General features: G+C 43.6%; 1 protein-coding gene across 42 annotated transcripts in view, besides 13 other annotated features; it reads right to left on the bottom strand.

Moving 5' to 3' along the window:
* Positions 1–18,387, bottom strand: part of CFLAR (CASP8 and FADD like apoptosis regulator) — a 60,524-nt gene that overhangs the window by 40,528 nt on the left and 1,609 nt on the right. For 16 of the 42 annotated variants that reach the window (XR_001739013.3, XR_007083713.1, NR_147251.2 and 13 more), the window contains exons 2-4: positions 6,014–6,431; positions 3,026–3,131; positions 53–188 (exon numbers count right to left, since the gene is read on the bottom strand). Coding sequence is in view for 17 of the 42 variants with exons in the window: in NM_003879.7 (NP_003870.4) it covers positions 53–188; positions 3,026–3,131; positions 6,014–6,294 (523 nt within the window). In the remaining 25 variants the exon portion in view is untranslated. Of the gene's footprint in view, positions 1–52; positions 189–3,025; positions 3,380–6,013; positions 6,432–6,639; positions 17,133–17,258; positions 17,445–18,387 lie in introns of those variants that run through there. The other 26 variants (NR_147253.2, XR_007083715.1, XR_007083684.1 and 23 more) reach the window with 10 other exon arrangements.
* Positions 3,249–3,338: an enhancer, noted in NCBI's record as "active region_16978". NCBI's record gives its function as "activates an Ori minimal core promoter by ATAC-STARR-seq in GM12878 lymphoblastoid cells {active_cell/tissue: GM12878}" and the evidence as "EXISTENCE:reporter gene assay evidence [ECO:0000049][PMID:35858748]".
* Positions 10,309–10,555: a silencer, noted in NCBI's record as "fragment chr2:201990328-201990574 (GRCh37/hg19 assembly coordinates)". NCBI's record gives its function as "represses an EF-1alpha promoter that drives an FKBP-Casp9 reporter gene in an ReSE screen in phorbol 12-myristate 13-acetate-treated (for megakaryocytic differentiation) K562 erythroleukemia cells {active_cell/tissue: K562(+PMA)}" and the evidence as "EXISTENCE:reporter gene assay evidence [ECO:0000049][PMID:32094911]".
* Positions 10,309–10,608: a biological region, named in NCBI's record as "ReSE screen-validated silencer GRCh37_chr2:201990328-201990574".
* Positions 10,459–10,608: an enhancer, noted in NCBI's record as "active region_16977". NCBI's record gives its function as "activates an Ori minimal core promoter by ATAC-STARR-seq in GM12878 lymphoblastoid cells {active_cell/tissue: GM12878}" and the evidence as "EXISTENCE:reporter gene assay evidence [ECO:0000049][PMID:35858748]".
* Positions 10,978–11,479: an enhancer, noted in NCBI's record as "NANOG hESC enhancer chr2:201989404-201989905 (GRCh37/hg19 assembly coordinates)". NCBI's record gives its function as "activates a minimal SCP1, AML or CMV promoter by ChIP-STARR-seq in primed H9 embryonic stem cells {active_cell/tissue: H9 hESC(primed)}" and the evidence as "EXISTENCE:reporter gene assay evidence [ECO:0000049][PMID:30033119]".
* Positions 11,718–11,767: a silencer, noted in NCBI's record as "silent region_12231". NCBI's record gives its function as "represses an Ori minimal core promoter by ATAC-STARR-seq in GM12878 lymphoblastoid cells {active_cell/tissue: GM12878}" and the evidence as "EXISTENCE:reporter gene assay evidence [ECO:0000049][PMID:35858748]".
* Positions 11,718–11,971: a biological region, named in NCBI's record as "ReSE screen-validated silencer GRCh37_chr2:201988912-201989135".
* Positions 11,748–11,971: a silencer, noted in NCBI's record as "fragment chr2:201988912-201989135 (GRCh37/hg19 assembly coordinates)". NCBI's record gives its function as "represses an EF-1alpha promoter that drives an FKBP-Casp9 reporter gene in an ReSE screen in K562 erythroleukemia cells {active_cell/tissue: K562}" and the evidence as "EXISTENCE:reporter gene assay evidence [ECO:0000049][PMID:32094911]".
* Positions 16,033–16,092: a silencer, noted in NCBI's record as "silent region_12230". NCBI's record gives its function as "represses an Ori minimal core promoter by ATAC-STARR-seq in GM12878 lymphoblastoid cells {active_cell/tissue: GM12878}" and the evidence as "EXISTENCE:reporter gene assay evidence [ECO:0000049][PMID:35858748]".
* Positions 17,201–17,570: an enhancer, noted in NCBI's record as "active region_16976". NCBI's record gives its function as "activates an Ori minimal core promoter by ATAC-STARR-seq in GM12878 lymphoblastoid cells {active_cell/tissue: GM12878}" and the evidence as "EXISTENCE:reporter gene assay evidence [ECO:0000049][PMID:35858748]".
* Positions 17,201–17,712: a biological region, named in NCBI's record as "H3K27ac-H3K4me1 hESC enhancer GRCh37_chr2:201983171-201983674".
* Positions 17,209–17,712: an enhancer, noted in NCBI's record as "H3K27ac-H3K4me1 hESC enhancer chr2:201983171-201983674 (GRCh37/hg19 assembly coordinates)". NCBI's record gives its function as "activates a minimal SCP1, AML or CMV promoter by ChIP-STARR-seq in naive H9 embryonic stem cells {active_cell/tissue: H9 hESC(naive)}" and the evidence as "EXISTENCE:reporter gene assay evidence [ECO:0000049][PMID:30033119]".
* Positions 18,061–18,110: an enhancer, noted in NCBI's record as "active region_16975". NCBI's record gives its function as "activates an Ori minimal core promoter by ATAC-STARR-seq in GM12878 lymphoblastoid cells {active_cell/tissue: GM12878}" and the evidence as "EXISTENCE:reporter gene assay evidence [ECO:0000049][PMID:35858748]".

Genomic DNA, 18,387 nt, shown 5'->3' with positions numbered 1-18,387 from the left:
CCCCCATGCACAGAGTACTTCCCCTAGACCACTGAGAGGCCAAAATTCTTACCAGACTGCTTGTACTTCTGGATTTTTGTCTTCAGGTCTATTCTGTGGATGTTCTTTAGGCATTTTTCTAATAAATCCAGTTGATCTGGGGCAACCAGATTTAGTTTCTCCAACTCAACCACAAGGTCCAAGAAACTCTAAGAGAACCACCAACAAAAAACAAATGTCAATAGAGCTAGCTAGGCCAGGTGCAGAAGTTCATACCTGTAATCCCAGCACTTTGGGAGGCTGAGGCAGGAAGACTGCTTGAGCCCAAGAGTTTGAGACCAGCCTGAGCAAAATAGTGAGACCCCCATCTCTACAAAAAATAAAAAAAATAAGCTGAGTGTGTTGGCACACACCTGTGGTCCCAGCTACTCAGGAGGCAGAGGTGGAGGATCACTTGAACTCAGAGGTCAAGGCAGTGAGCAGTGATTGCACCACGGCACTCCAGCCTGGGCAGCAGAGCGAGACCCTGTCTCAAAAAAAAAAAATAGAGCTGACTAATAAGCCCCAAATGCAAACCTCAGTCCATGTGATTTATAGCAGTAAGAAAATGTGACAAGATGAGCCCTTTCAGTGACCTTCAGTGATCTTAAACCAGACATCTCTGTCATGAGCAACTTAGACTCCTGATTTTTACTCAGAACAGAGGTGGTGGTAAGTCTTTTGGTCATCAATCTGCTCCTTGGTTGCAGAGAGACACGTGTGCCATGTTGTGTCATTGAGAAGGACCGTGAAAGAGCAGGGCTGAAAAGACAATCCTCCTAAGTTTATTATTTTCCAAAAGGCCAGGCTGGTGTCATAGTGAAAAACTCTAAGGGCTTCTCTGAAAAAGGAGAAGAAAGGTAGCTGGGGAAAGACTTTATGAGAAAAATCACATGTTATAGTTTTAAAGTTTCCAAAATATTTGAATCAATATTGGGCCTTCCAACTCATTCTGACGTTCTGACTCAGGGGATTATAAAAAAGTGAAATTACAACAAGGTTTGAGTATTCTGCTATTCGTTTACCTTGGGCCACAGTGATTATGAACGAACGATATTTCAGAAACAGGCATTGCTTTGGGATCTATTTCCTTTGCATTTAACATTTAGTTACTGAAGTGCTATCTTTATTTTTGAAAATAATAATCATAATTTAGATATATATAAATGGCTGGGAGAGACAATTACTAGGAGAAACCAAAAAGGGAGTTCTAGTTTCATTTTCCTTCCCATTTTGCATTTGATGGGACTTAAGAAACAAAACTATAATCATTAGGAACATGAGGAAATTCTCAAGCAATGACTTATCTGAATCGTTACAGGCAGGCACTGGCCTGCCTATTTTGAGGACCTATTGTCATATTTTAGAAACAATAGGTTCTCAAACATTTCCTGGCCTATCCTTAGGTCAACAGTACCATGTAGGGCCAACTAGAATGTTATTTTATTTTATATTTTTTTATTTTATTTTATTTTATTTTATTTTATTTTATTTTATTTTAATTTTTGAGATGGAGTCTGGCTCTATAGCCCAGGCTGGAGTGCAATAGCACAATCTTGGCTTACTGCAACCTCTGCCTCCTGGGTTCTAGCAATTCTCCTGCCTCAGCCTCCCAAGTAGCTGGGATTACAGGCGCCCACCACTACGCCCAGCTAATTTTTGTACTTTTAGTAGAGATGGGGTTTTGCCATGTTGGCCAGGCTGGTCTTGAACTCCTGACCTCAAGTGATCTGCCCGGCTCAGCCTCCCAAAGTGCTGGGATTACAAGCATGAGCCACTGTGCCCATGAGCCATTGTGCTAGGCCAACTGGAGTTAAAAAAAATTTTTTTTTTTGAGACAGAGTCTTGCTCCGTCGCCCAGGCTGGAGTGCAATGGTGCAATCTCGACTCACTGCAACCTCCGCCTCCTGGGTTCAAGTGATTCTCCTGCCTTCACCTCCTGTAGCTGGGATTATAGGTGCCTACCACCACGCCCGGCTAATTTTTTGTATTTTTAGTAGAGACGGAGTTTCACCAGGTTGGCCAGGTTGGTCTCAAACTCTTGACCTCAGGTGATCTGCCCACCTCAGTCTCCCAAAGTGCTAGGATTACAGGCGTGAGCCACCGTGCCTGGCCATGGATTTTAAATATTTTTCTAGCAATCATGACATCCCCGAGATCTTCACCACTACCTGGTCTTCTTTTCTTCATTTTTTTTTTTTTTTTTTTTTTTTGAGATGGAGTCTTGCTGTCACCCAGGCTGGAGTGCAGTGGCGCCATCTCAGCTCACCGCAAGCTCTGCCTCCCAGCTTCACACCATTCTCTTGCCTCAGCCTCCCGAGTAACTGGGACTACAGGCGCCCGCCACCACACCCGGCTACTTTTTTTGTATTTTTAGTAGAGATAGGGTTTCACCGTGTTAGCCAGGTTGGTCTCGATCTCCTGACCTCGTGATCCACCCACCTTGGCCCCCCAAAGTGCTGGGATTACAGGCATGAGCCACTGCGCCCGGCCTCCTGGTTTTCAACTCTAAATCTCTACTTTTACCATTTCCCAGATACACCAGTCACAAGAACCTCCCCCCACCCCACTCCTACATGCAGCCTAGACCCCACAATGACCTTGAGTCAGCTGAGGAGAAATAGATGGCAGTAGGAGAGTGATACTATAGTGGACTAGCACCTCCTTCCTGTTTTCCCCCAGCACAAGCAGATGGGATGTCTTCCCCACAACCCCATCAAACCAGGGAGGGAAACACATATGAGCCAGACCTATGAATTTTACAGAAACAAGGATAAAATCCAAGGATGAAAGAAACATCCAAGACCACACCAGAAGATGTTATAATCCTATTTCTTCAATTCATAAACCAATTCTCTTCCCATTCATGTTGTTTAAAAGCCACCTGAGATGTCTGACTCCCACTATAGTGGCGGCAGACTGCCTGCTTCCCTCTCTCTGTATCAACAAGAGTAGCTCCCACTTCTGATAGGCTCCTGGGGCCATGAACCAAAAGAAGAAAACTCACCTTCTCCTTGCTTATCTTGCCTCGGCCCATGTAATCCTTCATGAGGAAAATTAATGAGGACACATCAGATTTATCCAAATCCTCACCAATCTCTGCCATCAGCACTCTGCAAACCAGACAAGTTCATTTAGTTAATTCAGACATCAGTCCTAAGACAACTCCAAGTGCCCACGCCTCCCCTATGCAACAATGGATTAAAAGACTAGTTCTTGCCCCTGTGTAAATATGTCCCTCCCTCATAAAACAGCAAGCCTAGATCACCCCAGGAAGAGATCTTAAGGGACCTCAGAAAAGGGAACTTGTCCTTGCCCGTTTAATAGGAGATGGTACATCCTTTGCCAACTAACAGTTTCTGAAAACAACTCAGAGAATGGAAACTTCCTTAAAGAATCCCCTAGCTCCCCCAGAGGTTACAGTGAAATGACTTAAGAACCCAAATGACTAACATAAAAGACAGAAATAGAATTTGAAGTAGCCTTCTCTGTTTAACAAGCTCTCAGGTGATGTTGATTCAAGGACCATATTTTGAATTGCAAGATGCTAAAGGAAAGAAATACCTGAGATACCCTGGCCCACCTCTGAACTCAAAGGGTACAGGCATCTGGATCACAAGGATTCTGAACTTAGATGTCTTTGCCTAGAAAGCCTCTCCTGACTCACTGGTGGCTGGAGCTAACACTATATATATATATATATATATATATTTTTCCCCCCCTAGGAAATAGACTTTGAGAACCAACAACCACACTTTTCTGGGGCTCCTAAGGACACCCTGTGGTTAGTATTGTTACCATGACATTGTCATCAAGGCCATTTTCCCAGTTAGGCTCTCAGATTCTTGAGGATGGCAGACTTTTCATTTTGTCCTAGAGCTTACCAAAACACTTAGCACCAATACACAATGAAGCCCACTCACCAGATGAATAAATAAATCTAGCACTCCTCTTCAACTGCCCCCGCAACCCTTCCCAGAGGGCCTGAAGAATCTCCACTCATCATAGCAAGGAAATGGGAAATGGAGAGATTGCCCTATTCACTGAAACTCAGTTGGTGCCTCCCGGAAAGTCTGAAGATTACTGACATTAAAACTGATGGCTGAATAGGTGGAAGATTAAAAAAATAATAATAATAACAATGATAATAATCCCTTCTATCTGTAGAGTGCTTCACAGTTTAAAAAGTACTTCACATAGTAAATTATTACAACTGATGCTCACAACAACCTTGTAAAGTCAGGTATTATTATTTTTCGCTTTACAAGTAGGAAAACAGAGGCCCAACAAGGTTAGTGATTGGCCCAGCCTGCCTGGCCCATAATTGGTAGATCTGAGGCTTGAAACAGGTCTTCCAGCTACAATGAGCTATGATCATGCCACTGCACTCCAGCCTGGATGACAGAGCAAGACCCTGTCTCAAAAACAAACAAACAAACAAAAAAACAAAAACCAAAAAAACAGGCTTTCCAAGTTCAAATCTCATATACTTTCCAAAGCCCACACTGCTTTCAGCTCTCTTTAGTATAGTTCTTGATAATAATTATCATCTCCAAATACACATTATCAACATAATAAAAGGCTGGTGGTCGAGAGAAAAAACACCGGCTGGGCATGGTGGCTCACACCTATAATCCCAGCACTTTAAGAGGCCAAGGAGGGCAGATCACTTGAGGCTAAGAGTTCAAGACCAGCCTGGCCAACATGGCAAAACCCTGTTTCTAGTAAAAATACAATAATTAGCCAGACATAGTGGTGCGTGCCTGTAATCCCAGCTACTCAGGAGGCTAAGGCAGGAGAATCACTTGAACCCAGAAGCAGAGGTTACAGTGAGCCAAGATCGCACCACTGCACTCCAGCCTGGGCTGCAGAGCGAGACTTTGTCTCAAAAAAAAAAAGAAAACACCAACTTAAGGTTACAAGTTATCTTCCTTTCCCCAGGAAGTCAGTCTCTCAGTAGCTTCCATGCCCCTCTGAACCTCTAAAGACATTAACATGTGAACAGGAGGAAGGAGCAACCCAAAGCTTGTGGGAACTAAAGCAGACTCCAGTGGCCATTTCCTCTTTGGACTGAAGGGACTTAAATGTGGTTAACTGAAGAGATTTTCAATGTGGGCTCTCCAATGTCTCCAAGCGCAGGAAGTGCAGGAAGGGAGCCCACCCTGATAAACTTCCTCAGCAGGGTAGGGCCAACAGGGATTCAGAAGGGATGATGGAGTCTCTACAAAGGTAGGAAGATTACTGTCAGACTTGTTATTTCCTTTCTTTGTACCACAAATTATCAAGGACTGACTTCACAGAAAATGAACTAGTAAACACTGCTGCAGATCTCACACTGTCAGAGGCTGGCAAGAATGACTAGCTCTTAGTCATTCCTATCTTTCTTCACGTCTTGTCATTCTATCCTTCAGGCAAACACATACCAGCTGCCCTTCTACCTGCATATGATCCCAATTCCTTTGAGAAAGCATGTTTCAGCTGGAGGCAATGGCTCATGCCTGTTATCCCAGCATTTTGGGAAGCCAAGGCAGGTGGATCACTTGAGGTCAGGAGTTCAAGACCAGCCTGGCCAACATGGTGAAACCCCGTCTCCACTAAAAATACAAAAAAAAATTAGCCAGGCATGGTGGCGCACGCCTGTAGTCCCAAGTACTTGGGAGGCTGAGGCAGGAGAATCGCTTGAACCCAGAAGGCGGAGGTTGCAGTGAGCCAAGATCACGCCACTGCACTCCAGCCTGGGCAACAGGGTGAGACTCTGTCTCAAAAAAAAAAAAAAAAAAAAAAAAAAGAAAGAAAGAAAAAGAAAGCAAGAAAACAAGTTTCAAGAATTTAAAGGGCTCACAGGAATGAAGTGACATCATCTGGCAGTTGGATAAGTGGGCAGAGACAGTAAAGTGGCTGCACTTCTTATTATCCTCGTTTCTGCCATTCAGTAGAGTCTGAGACACTTCACTCCCTCCCACCCACCCAGCCTCAGGAAGAGTTGATGAATTACCTATAGTCCGAAACAAGGTGAGGGTTCCTGAGCAGGTGGGTCTCCACAGCTTTTCTGTCCATCTTCAAGATACGTTTGAGCAGGTCAAATCGCCTCACTCTGTAGAGCAGTTCAGCCAAGTCCCCGACAGACAGCTTACCTCTTTCCCGTAAAATATCCAGAAGGTCCCTGACATTAGGTGGAACCACATCTATAGCAACATCCCGGCACAAAAAGAGCAGCATCTCCTTCTCATCTGTATCAAGTGCTTCTTCAACCTGATGGATGACTTCAGCAGACATCCTACTCTTAGACTAGGGAAGCTCACAAGGGTCTTGCAGTACAGCTCCGGGCCAGTCAACAGAAAGCCAGCAGGCAGTCAACTTCATTTCTGAGGGCTGACTTCATTTCTTTCAGAATCCTTTCCAGTGGGGGAGTTCTGTGGTTAAAAGGGAATTTTTCTGAAAATCTTATCAAGCTAACTTATGCCTAAGATTGAAAGTATGGGCTCTTTCCTTCTGGGTGGTCTCCCTGACTTAAGTAGATTAAGTTCTATAGAAAGGGATCTATAGAAGTCTAAAGAAAGGGATCCTTGGTAGACAGAACCAAAAACAGACTAATCCAAAAAGACAGAGAAGAAAACCTACATTGTAAAGGAAATGAAACAACAGATGAACTCATCTGCAAGGAAACCCCACATTCTTTTTCAGAATTCATCAGAATGTAAAGCATGTTCAGGGAAAATTACAACTAAGGGTTTAATGGCCTCAGTAGGAGGAATAGGGAAGAAGTACGTAGTAGAAGGAAGTGGGAAAAGCCCAACGACAGACAGCCTGACTAAATCAGGGAAACTTATGTCACAGAGTTAAACCTCCACCTCAATGACTCCACCCACGTGGCCTTGAACAAACAATGGAGAAAAGAAGTTTCTGTCCCTGTGCCACTCCTTTTTTCTAGTTGCTCTCCTACTTCAAAAGCCCCTCACTCACACCTGAGGGCAGAAACCTCTGCTGCCATCCTCCTAGACCCCAAGCCCTTTTCACAACATCATGAATGCTCACAGAACCTGCCACCAAGTTGTCAGGTTTGGATCACGTCTTCAGACCCTGAGCCCCATGGAGGTGCCAGAGGCCCTGACTCTCAATGCACTGCTACATGGCAGCAATTGCCATTAGTGCTTCTGATGTTCTCAGTGGAACATCTGGAAGTTACAGAGGATCTGGGGAAAGATCTCACTCCTGGGAGGGGGCTGGGTAGGAGGGGTAAGGAGCTCATGCAATGGGTGTGTTCTTAATTTCTTCCATTGAAACTCATCCTATTTTCTTTCAAAATTTAAGTTGCTAACCTATCTACTCTAAGTTTCACAGCTAAAACTTATGTTAAATCACCTCTTGTGTTCTTTATCTGTTCCTACAAGACAATATTTCAGGTTAAAATCAAATTTATTAACAAAAAATAAGTGGAAACACAACCCAACTCTAAATTGCCAATGGTTGCTTTGTATTTGTGTTCAAGTATATTTATATATTTATCTAGCTGTATTTAGTGAAAGAAGCACTGAATCCATTTATTTATATACATACAGTATCAGTCCACAAAAGATTTGAGCTATCTTAAAATAAAAACACATAAATAGAAAAATTTTATATGAAAACAAGAGGAAAAATTAGGTTAGAAATTTGAAATGGGCTTGCCCATTCATCCCAACTTCACTTAAATATGATTATTTGTAAATAACTGGAGAAATTAAATTTGCTAAGTTAAATTTACTAAAATTAAATGTGCTCAATGAAAGTGGAAAAATTGGCACTCAGACTATTTTACTTTTTTTTATCAGAAAGATAAATACAAATTTTATGTGTTCTGGACAGCCCAAATCTATACTCCACTCGCAGGCCAACAGTGCTTTAATCTCATCATCAGCTTCCATGAAAAGGAGGCCAAGTTCTTTTCTACTGTATTAATGAATAGTCACAATTTTGTCAACAGTTGTTATTATAAATTAAAGTATAAAATATATGCAGTAGAAGGAATTATAAAAACACAAAAATAAAATCATTAAACACAAGACTAAGAAATGAGATATTATACAAATTCACTGACATATTTGAAAAAGAACCAAACAGAACTACTAGAAATGAAATGCTTAATTCTCTATTTTTTTACAGTCATCTAACTTTTGTAATTCATAAGTATCAACAATATAACAATGCCACCAAGAGTTAACAAAATGAGATAATCATTTTAAAAAACATTATCTGCTCAGTTTGTTTCTTCCAACCATCACACCCATGACTGCTTTCTGCCAGTCACGCACACTCAGCAAGAGCACTGGCATACTGTCTTCCCTCTGTGCTAACGGGGGTAGAGTTTGGCAGCAAAATCTAGATTACTCAGTGGTAGCATCTGGCACATTGAAAGAAAATATCAAAAGGAAACTACAGATCCCGTGTGGAGCCAGCCCACTCAGATGCAACAAAATAGCAGCGTGTGTGTATGCTGGAGGCAGTTCACTGTGGCTAGAGGTGGTGAGTACTTGAGAAAGGAGAGCATACTAGGGAGAGGTAGGGCTGGGGTCCGAATAATCACCACTTTGTTGGGGTTTAAGCCCAAGCCAAGAAATTAACATAAAAATTACTCTTAGACTAGGGAAGCTCATAAGGTCTTCAGTTTTTTGTAGGGAAAGGGTCCCACTGTGTTTCTCAGGCTGGTCTCAAACTCCTGGGCTCAAGTGATTCTCCTACCTCAGCCTTCCGAAATGCTGAGATTACAGGTGTAAGCCACCACACCCAGATGAATGAGTTCTTTAGAGCCCAGTAAAAGACTTGTGCCCATCAGTTACCAACTCCACCCTGCCTGAGCTGCTGGACTCAGTGTCCCATTCGCCTCTTCTGAAGAGTCACTTGCTTTCACCTTACTCAGATGAAGGGGCAAAGGAATATCCAAGTCCAATTATTTTTCTTCCCTGCTTTCAAATACCCAATCCTCCTGACTGATCAAGATACCATTAGCTTCATTTCTCCCCCCAAGTGTTTTCAGCAGTTTACTTTTCCCTAGCCAGACAAAATTGGCACCTGTGTGTGTTTTCTAGAATTTTAAAGGAATTCCCCTTAACTCCCCTCACAGGCATATTCTAATTTAATGACTATATCTCCCCTTCTTTTCCACACCCACACCCTGGTACAAACTGTCCCTGACCTTCACAAGAGCAACTAAAACTTGAGACCAATTTCTGTTTCATTTCTCTTGCAGAAGTCAAGAGACTATCGCCAATTATTATTCAAAACATCAACAAAGCTTAGGCAAGTCAGAGTTATCTTTCACACACTAGCTAACAGGAGCATCCGGTTCTGGAAACAGAAATATTCCAGGCATTTTTTGTAGAAATTACACTTAATACTGGAACTAACAAAACTGCTGAGAGGACTGGAGGAAGGAGCTCTGGGGTGGGATTCTAACAAAGACTCCTGGGGCTGCTGCAACAACCTTGCCTCAGCCAGGGAAGTGAGGATCAGGAGGCTGCCACTAGAACTGAGCTCAAAGACCCTCTGACAGTGGAGACCCAGTGATCATGTAATGCCCAACCTTGTTTTTACTAACGCTGTTTTTAGACTCTCCCTTTCCTTTAATCACTTAGCCTTGTTTTCACCTGAATTGACTCTCCCTTAGCTAAGAGAGCCAGACAGACTCCATCTTGGCTGTTTCACTGGCAGCCCTTCCGCAAGGACTTAACTTGTGCAAGCTGACTCCCAGCACATCCAAGAATGCAATTAACTGATAAGATACTGTGGCCAGCAATATCCGCAGTTCTCAGGAATTCGTCAGATTGATAACGCCCAAAGCCCCGCGTCTATCACCTTGTAATAGTCTTAAAGCCCCTGCACCTGGAACTGTTTACTTTCCTGTAACCATTTATCCTTTTAACTTTTTTGCCTACTTTACTTCTGTAAAATTGTTTTAACTAGACCCCCCCCTCCCCTTTCTAAACCAAAGTATAAAAGAAAATCTAGCCCCTTCTTCGAGGCTGAGAGAACTTTGAGCGTTAGCTGTCTCTTGGCCGCCGGCTAAATAAACGGACTCTTAATTCATCTCAAAGTGTGGCGTTTTCTCTAACTCGCTCAGGTACAACAATCAGACAGCGCATGCTACAAACTCTGGCCAGCATTTTCAATTATCTGGCCTTTTTCCCTCCTGACTGCCAGCCCTGCAACATCTAGGGTGACCGAGTCCCAGGAAACCCCTCAGTCCCAGGCAAACAGGGATGGTTGATCGCTCCAGCACCCCTGCCTTAATGAGGAAGCCTCTACCACTCCTACACCTCCAGTAGCAAGTTCCGAAGGAAGGGAGAAGAGATAACACAATCTGAAAACTACTCACCACCACACCCTGGTGGTTTCCTGAGCTGGGCCCCTACGGCTGCTCAACAGTTTCATTTACAGGAAGACTCTGTTCAGCTCCTTTCCCACACCCTTCAAGGAGTGTGGGAAACCTCCAACACTCCACAACTCTCTTCCATCCCAACACCACCCCCAGTGCCATTTCTCATCCATGTATCAGGCACAAACTCCTGCCACCTTCCACCTTTCCACTGCCCCAGCTGGTCCCTCCTGTCCCTCTGCTTGCCTAGGGCTAAGCCTCCCTGTGTGCCCTCCTGTCTCTACTAATCCCCTATGTCTACTCTCTTCATCCTCTCTACCTCCAGAGACGGCTCCTCCCAGCTTGTAAACATGTGCAAGTCTCTTCCATCTTAAAAAATAAAGCCAAACCCTCAAAAAAGCCTGAGGGTCCCCTAGACCTACCATCCTTTCACTTTATTCCCTTTCACATAAAGCTGGGACCTCATGAAGGAATAGTCTGTACTCAGTGCTTCAGTTTCTTCAACCACAATTCACTTCTCAACATGCCTCCACCTGGATCCCCTCACCACCATCTCCTCTACACAGCCACACTCAGTCCTGAGCCATACTGGAATCTGAGGCAAAAGGGACAATCAGCAATACTGACGCTGTCTTTATTTAAAATGTTGGTATTTTGTTCATCATAGATTTTTTGCATTTATGTCTGTTTTTTAAAATATTGCATTAAAATATTATCTATCTTGATGACTGACTTTTTGAGCACCCCCTCACATGTTGTCCTGAAGCCAGTGCCTCGTTTGCCCCTGCTAGTATCCCAGCCCTGATGACACAGCTCTTGTTGAGGCCCTGGTGACCTCCTGGTTGCCACATCCAAAAACTTGGAAGTCCTCTTTCATCTGACTGCTCAACTCCAGCTGACACTGCTAATTCATCCCTCCTTGAAACTCTTCTCCCTTGGCTGAGCTCACACCACTATATTCTACACAGACCCTTCTCTAACTTTCTTCTACTCCTCAGCATACTCTTTCTGCACCTGTCCCTTAAATGCTGGTGCCTACCATCCGTCTCTCATCCAAACTCATTCCCCTAGCCATTCTGTTCCCCCTGCTTTAGACCTCACCCTCTCCAAATCTACCTTCCATCTAAGTGAAATTTCTAAAGTTCATGCCTGAACTGGCCAGGCGCGGTGGCTCACACCTGTAATCCCAGCACTTTGGGAGGCCAAGGCGGGCGGATCACTTGAGGCAAGGAGTTCAAGACCAGCCTGGCCAACATGGCAAAACCCTGTCTCTACTAAAAATACAAAAACTAGCTGGCCGTGGTGCTGCATGTCTGTAATCCCAGCTACTCGAGGGGTTGAGGCACAAAAGTCTCTTGAGCCTGGGAGGTGGAGGTTGCCAGTGAGCTAAGATTGCGCCACTGCACTCCAGCCTGGGCAACAAGAGTGAAACTCCGTCTCGAAAAACAAAACAAAACAAAACAAAACACCTCTATTGAAGCACTTAACACACTTCCCTGGTACCCACATTAGCCCTAACCAGGTGTCAGCAAATGTGGTTAAGTTTAGTCAGGCCTCTCAACCTTTCTCACAGAACACCAACGCTGCCCCCAAACTATCTGGTAACAAAGGCACATATTGTTCCCTGTAATCAGTAGCAAAGCATGCAGCATGACCAGCTAAGCCATCCAAAGACGTACTTAACATTCCCTTCTTTCTACTGCTTCTCTAGTGAAGCAAGGTCATCGTATGGCATGAAAGCAATGTCATGTCCAGTGAGCCACAGCGTGAATGCAAATGTAATTTCTTGCAACCCCACAAACTGGGCGGCAATGGAGAAACCTGTCTTGCCAGCTGCAGAAAGCAGCATGCAAACCTGAACTTTCAGGTGTCTGGGAAGCCCCAGTGGAGATATGAACATGAAACAAAGTGTCATCCAGAAGTTTCTAAAAGCAGAAGAGGTTGCACAATTCTGGGTAAAGTAGAATGTGGCCATCTCACAGAAGTTTTGTGCATTCATCTTGAACATAACAAAATTCACCTTCCCCCTCCATTGGCGTGCAGAACAACAGATGATCCCAGTTATAAAATGACATAAAATTAGAAGTCATATTTTATAAAATTATTTGATGAGGCTGCTATGGTTTGAATGTGTCCCCTCCAAAGTTCAGGTATTGCCAATATGATAGGATTAAGAAGTGGGGCCTTTAAGAGGTGATCATTCCCTGGAGGCGCCTCCCTCCTGAATGGGATTAGATGCCCTTATAAAGGGGGCTGATAAAGGGAGTTTATTTCTCTTTTTGCCCTTCCACCTTTTGCCATGTTAAGACACAGCATTCCTCCCCTCCGTAGAATGCAGTGTTCAAGGCACCAGATTGGAAGCGGGGAGCAGCCCTCACCAGATGTCAGCACCTTGATCTTGGACTTCCCAGCCTCCAGACTGTGAGAAATAAATTTGTTTTTTATAAATTACCTGGTTGTGGGTATTTTGTTATAGCAGCACAAAACAGACTAAGAACAGACTTTTCATGACTCTCAAGGAAGCTCCCACAAATTCCAACCAGACATTATCGCCAATAACTTCCTTGGTTCCTAACACTTATGTGTAGGCTGCAGAAAATGAGAATGAATCAGAAATGAGAAAGCATCTAAATCAAAAGATCATAAATCATCATCTAATTGGATATAGAAACATGGGCAAAGTCACCAGGAGCAAGGGAGCTAAATCAGTTGATGTAGTGCCCTTAACTAAATTTAAATTTTCACTTTGGCAGGTATACTTGCTCAGCTTACACAACGGATTGCCCACTGTAACTAACGGGCCAAGAGTGGTCCTGCAGGAGATAGCTCTGTTCAAAATCAGAAATTGTGCATAATACTATAGACAAACTTCTGATACATAGCTCAAGCACTAAGAGTATCATCCCCACTTCAGCCCAACCCATAATCTAACTCCGAACCAAAAATATCTCAATGTTCCCTGGACAGTATTTTTCTGTCCCAGCAACTTCACTCAAGCATTTGCCTCCATTTGGAAAGCCCCTTCCCTCCTCTCAGTCTGTACCTGAAATTATATCTTCTCTCTCAAGATGTCTCTTCTATAAGCTTGTCTTGATCCCCAAATCAAGTCTCTCTTCCTGCTTTGTAGCACTATTTGTGTTCTCTTCCAGCATTTTATCTTATTCTATCCTATGTGAGACTCAGTTGAGTACTGTCATATGTGGAGGTCCTTGGGGATAGATAGGCTTTTACTCATCTTCATTAGGCTGTGGTAAACAATGGCCAGGGCTGCCAATCTCAGCCCTCTTGGGTCTTGAACAGACTGGTCATCATTGGACCATTGCAGCCCATGTGTAACGCTTACTCATCCCTTCATAACATACAATGAAGCAAGATGGAGCTGGTGGTGTAGTTAAGATACCATACTTGGAATCTGGTTGTTGGATCCAGAAGAGCTTGTGAAAGGAAGCTTTTGCAGCTACATGAGATAACAATGCTAATGCTTTAGAGTGACTTGCAATGTGATTCTAAAAGGATGGGTAAGCCCCCATGCAAAATTTTCTGGAAACTGGCAGGACCTCATTGTGAGTGGGGAGAATACAATGTCTCCAACCAAGGGGATGTTTGGAACTCATCATCAATTTATTACCAGGCTTCAATTTATTTGATAGAGAAAAATGAGAACAGGTCAAGCTGCCTGAGTTTAAGCAAGATGTAAGATTTTAATGCTTCAGCAATAACTGAGTTCAGAGACCAGGTCTCAACTTCAGGTAGTACGAAGAAGACCTATGGCTTAGCCTCACTTCTTTTTAGGTATCTAAACCATCTGATGTCACCTTTAGAGGAACTGGATGTCTAACTTCATGCAACAGCAGTCAGGAAAACAGGCATTCCTTCTCCTCAAGGTTTTGATCAAAGGAATAAAAAGTGGCTCAAGAAACAACCCCATCTATTCAAGAGAATAGCATACTATCAATCATGCTACACTACTGCAATAAAATATTTAGGAGACGTTCTCTTAAGTTCATCTAGACAAGATTGGCTTAAATTAAATTTCAACTTGGCAGGTGTATTTGCTCAGTTTACACAACAGATTCTCCATTGTAACTAAAGGGCCAAACTTGGCCCTTTGGGAGATATCTCTATTCAAAGTCAGAAATTGTACATAACACTAGGGATATATAAAGTTCTTAAAATTACTTTTATATAGCATTCATTTTCTGTAAAAAGCACTACCTGCTTTTTGCTCTAAGAAAATCTGGAAAATAGAGAAAAGTAGAGAAGAAAATAAAAATTCCCCACTTGCTTCAGTCTCATCACCATCCCTGGTACCTACTCATCTGTCCCCTAGTTTCTCATCTCTTGCCTGGGTCCTCGTTCTAGGTTCCTTTACATTCCTGGTGATGGCCCAGGTTAAAGGGATAGACTCATTCTACATTTAGGCTGAATGATAGCCAGCACGTTTACAGAAAGCCTAGGCAGACAGCAACTGATATAGTGTCTCCTCTGGGGGTATAGCTTTGTGCTATATACAACTTGTCTGTGCTACCACATATTTTATTAATAGCTACATCACGGAGCACAACCTTATAATTACTTACCAGATTAAAATAATCCAGCTTTATAATTATTTGCCAGATTAACATAATCCAGCCATGGCTTAGAAAAGAACTCAAGTATAAAATCTGAACTATGGGGTTTCAATAGCATACCATGGCCAAGGTTTTGGGTGAAACTTTTGCGCTGCTTCTATGTTTTCCAACCAGAAAGGGAGCTCCAGACAGCAGAGGGAGATCTACATGCCCCCATTCCTCAGCCCCAGCAGGTGCTCAGTAAATGCTGAAGGAGTTACTTTTTTCATTTAACTCTTGATTCAAAGTTGTGGTTATTGTTGCAGGGAATTTGGTTCACTCACTAGATAGTATTCAAGCAAGAGACTGTCAGGTACCTACTCTTTTAAACAATCTCATTGACTTTGAAAACTACTTTTGAAAGCTGCAAGTAAAAACAAACAAAAAACACAGATATATAAGCCAAAGGGAAGATAAAAAGGAAGTTCAAGGAAAAAACTCAAGAATTTCACAAGTAGATAAGGAAGCTTTGGTTCCCATTTCTAAAGTCACATGACTAAAGAAACTCATTACCCTGGGAAGCATTTTTAAACCTTGGAGTTAAGTAACTATGAGAGGATTTTTCAATTACATTTTTAAAAGTATACAAATATACATATAAATTATTCATTTCTTCAACTTAAGAGTTCACTGCAGAAGATACAAATTATCATGAGTATGCAGATGAAAGTGGTATCAAGTGGTGTAGCTTCTCTCTTTCATAATAAGTACTAAATCACCAAAGATGGCAACCCAGTATCGAGAATAAGAGAAAAATAATGTAGAAGATGTTTATCTATTTGGGCCAAAAACTTAAATCGCCAAAAAAAGAAAGTGGCTAGAAGTGGAGACCATCAGAGGAACATAAATACAGAACAAGTGTAGAAAAGGAAGCAATTTTCACAGGAGAATCACTTGAACCCAGGAGGCAGAGGCTGCAGTGAGCAGAGATAGCACCACTGCACTCCAGCCTGGGTGACAGAGTGAGACTCTGTCTCAAAAAAAAAAAAAAATGTAGCTGGGTGTGGTGGCACACACCTGTAGTTCCAGCTACTCCAGAGGCTGATGTGAGATGACTGCTTGAGCCTAGAGTTAGAGGCTGAAGTGAGATATGATCACCACTGCACTCCAGCCTGGGCAACAAGCAAGACCTCATCTCAAAAAAAAAAAAAAAAAAAGAAAAGAAAAGAAGGCCCCACCTTGAATCTTTTTTAGAAAAAAGCAGGTTGTAAATAAACACAATTTTAAAAAATGAAATATCTTGCAAACTAGAAAATAAACCAAAAAAATTGAGTGTTTATTTTTAAAAATATGTAAAAGACTGTATTTGAGAGCGCACATGTGTGAAAAAAAAAAAAAAAACATTAAACTGAAACCTTTGGTTATCTCTACGGAATGAACCCCTGGAGGTTTTCTCTATTTACTTTGCATGTATTTTAACTCATAATTATAATACAACTTGACTGAAGAGTGTCTGAAGAAAATGCATTACAGTACAGAATGTTAGGTACAATCCTGAAGCAAGTGCAAAGACAGCCGCTGAGCATATGAAAGTACAGAGAAAGGGCACCAGGGTGGGGTGTCAAGTCTTCTGAGGGGAGATGACAGGAAGAGAGTATAAGGGAGAGACAGGGCATTCCAATAATGATAGTGCTTTTCACCTCACTGATCTATAGTAAGAAAGAACGACCGGGTTCTGCAAGTTACCTGGGCATACTAAAAGAAAAGACAAAACAAACAAACAAATAAACAAAAAGAACCCATGGTGTCATAACTGCCCCACCATGGCCCACAGGCTTCCTCCAGTCAGGCTGTCAGTGGATCTTGTCTAAACTGCCTTGACTCGAAGTTACCTGTGTAGGTAACTGCTGAGTCTTCCTCAACCACATTGTGAGGTTATGGGGACAAGAACCAAGTTTAGATCCATTTCTATGTCCTCGGCACCCAGAACTCTGCCTGGCCCAGAGAAGCTCAATAAATGTTGGTAGGATTATACTGAATTAAAGGCAAGGAGGCATTGGAGTCCATAAACACGAGTTTAATTAGCCCCTGGGGCTCTACAGGGAAGAAATAATCAGACTTCAAGGGTGCCCCATTCCCCAGAGTCCATTCCTGGTATTTGAAAGAGCAACATGCCCCGGAGTGTTGTGAGTCCTCTGGAGGCTCAAGGAGACCTAGGGCCAAAAGCGAGGACTCAATCCTTTTCTGCCAGTATCGGGGGACAGTGCCCCGACGTCCCAGGAGCCCAGGGCGACACCAGCCCAGGGGCGGGGATCGGGCAGGATTCTCGGTCTACTCACGCCCGGGCAGCCGCCGGCTCTTCCCACTGGATCTCCGCCGGGACCAACTCCCACCCTCGCCGGACAAGCTCAGACCTGCTGCTCCGCAAAACCAGAATTGGAAATGCTCCAGATGGGACGAGGAACAAGGACAGAAAGTCAAAAGCATCAACAGGTGGCTTCGCCGGAGGGCGTCCGAGAACCTCTGCCTGCTGAACCGCTTCACGCCTAATCCCCGCCACCCACCGGCTGAAATGTTACCACACAAGACATAAATTCTAGAATCCTGTCTGCGGAATTCCCCGCCCCCCGCGCAGTTGAAACTTGCACAGGGCCACTCGCGTGTCTCTGGGTGGTAAAATTCTCCATGCGTGGTCAAACGGCTTATGCATAGCTCAGGACCGTTACGTGCGACCCCACCAGGACTGAGTGGGGACAGCCGCTGCGCCCCCACCACCTACTAGGAGCTGCGGTAGGACCTCCAATGCCCCAGGGGCCTAGGCAATTTCCGCTTCAGCTTCCTGGAGGTCCCCAGCCCAAGGCTCAAAAAACTGCACACTATCCGGCCCACCCCGGGTCGCGCAAGACTTTCGGGGGGAGGGGGAAACCCAGCGACCCTGCAAATGGCTTCACCTTGGAAACCGGTATAAGGAAGCAAGTAATACCGTGTTAAAAGAAGGTCAAATGTCAGTTACAAACAGAAACGTAAAACATAAAGTCGCTAGAGAAAGCCATTTTAACGAGGACATTTGACCCAAAAGCTTAAGTAAAGCAAGTATTAACAAAACAAGAAAATGGATGTAAAGCAAACAGTAAACATTAAAAACTCCCTTTCAACCCAGTCTTTTTTGTTTAGATCTTGGAGTTGGGCCGGGCATGGTGGCTCACGCCTGTAATCCCAGCACTTTGGGATGCCGAGGCGGGCGGATCACCTAAGGTCAGGAGTTCGAGACCAGACTGACCAACATGGAGAAACCCCGTCTCTATTAAAAATACAAAACTAGCCGGGCATGGTGGTGCATGCCTGTAATCTCAGCTACTTGAGAGGCTGAGGCACGAGAATCGCTTGAACCCGACAGGCGGAGGTTGCGGTGAGCAGAGATAGTGCCATTGCATTCCAGCCTGGGCAACAAGAGTGAAATGCTGTCTC

Source organism: Homo sapiens, chromosome 2, assembly GCF_000001405.40.
Source record: "Homo sapiens chromosome 2, GRCh38.p14 Primary Assembly".
NCBI classification, from domain to species: Eukaryota; Metazoa; Chordata; class Mammalia; order Primates; family Hominidae; genus Homo; species Homo sapiens.
This window is presented reverse-complemented; position numbering and strand designations above follow the sequence as displayed.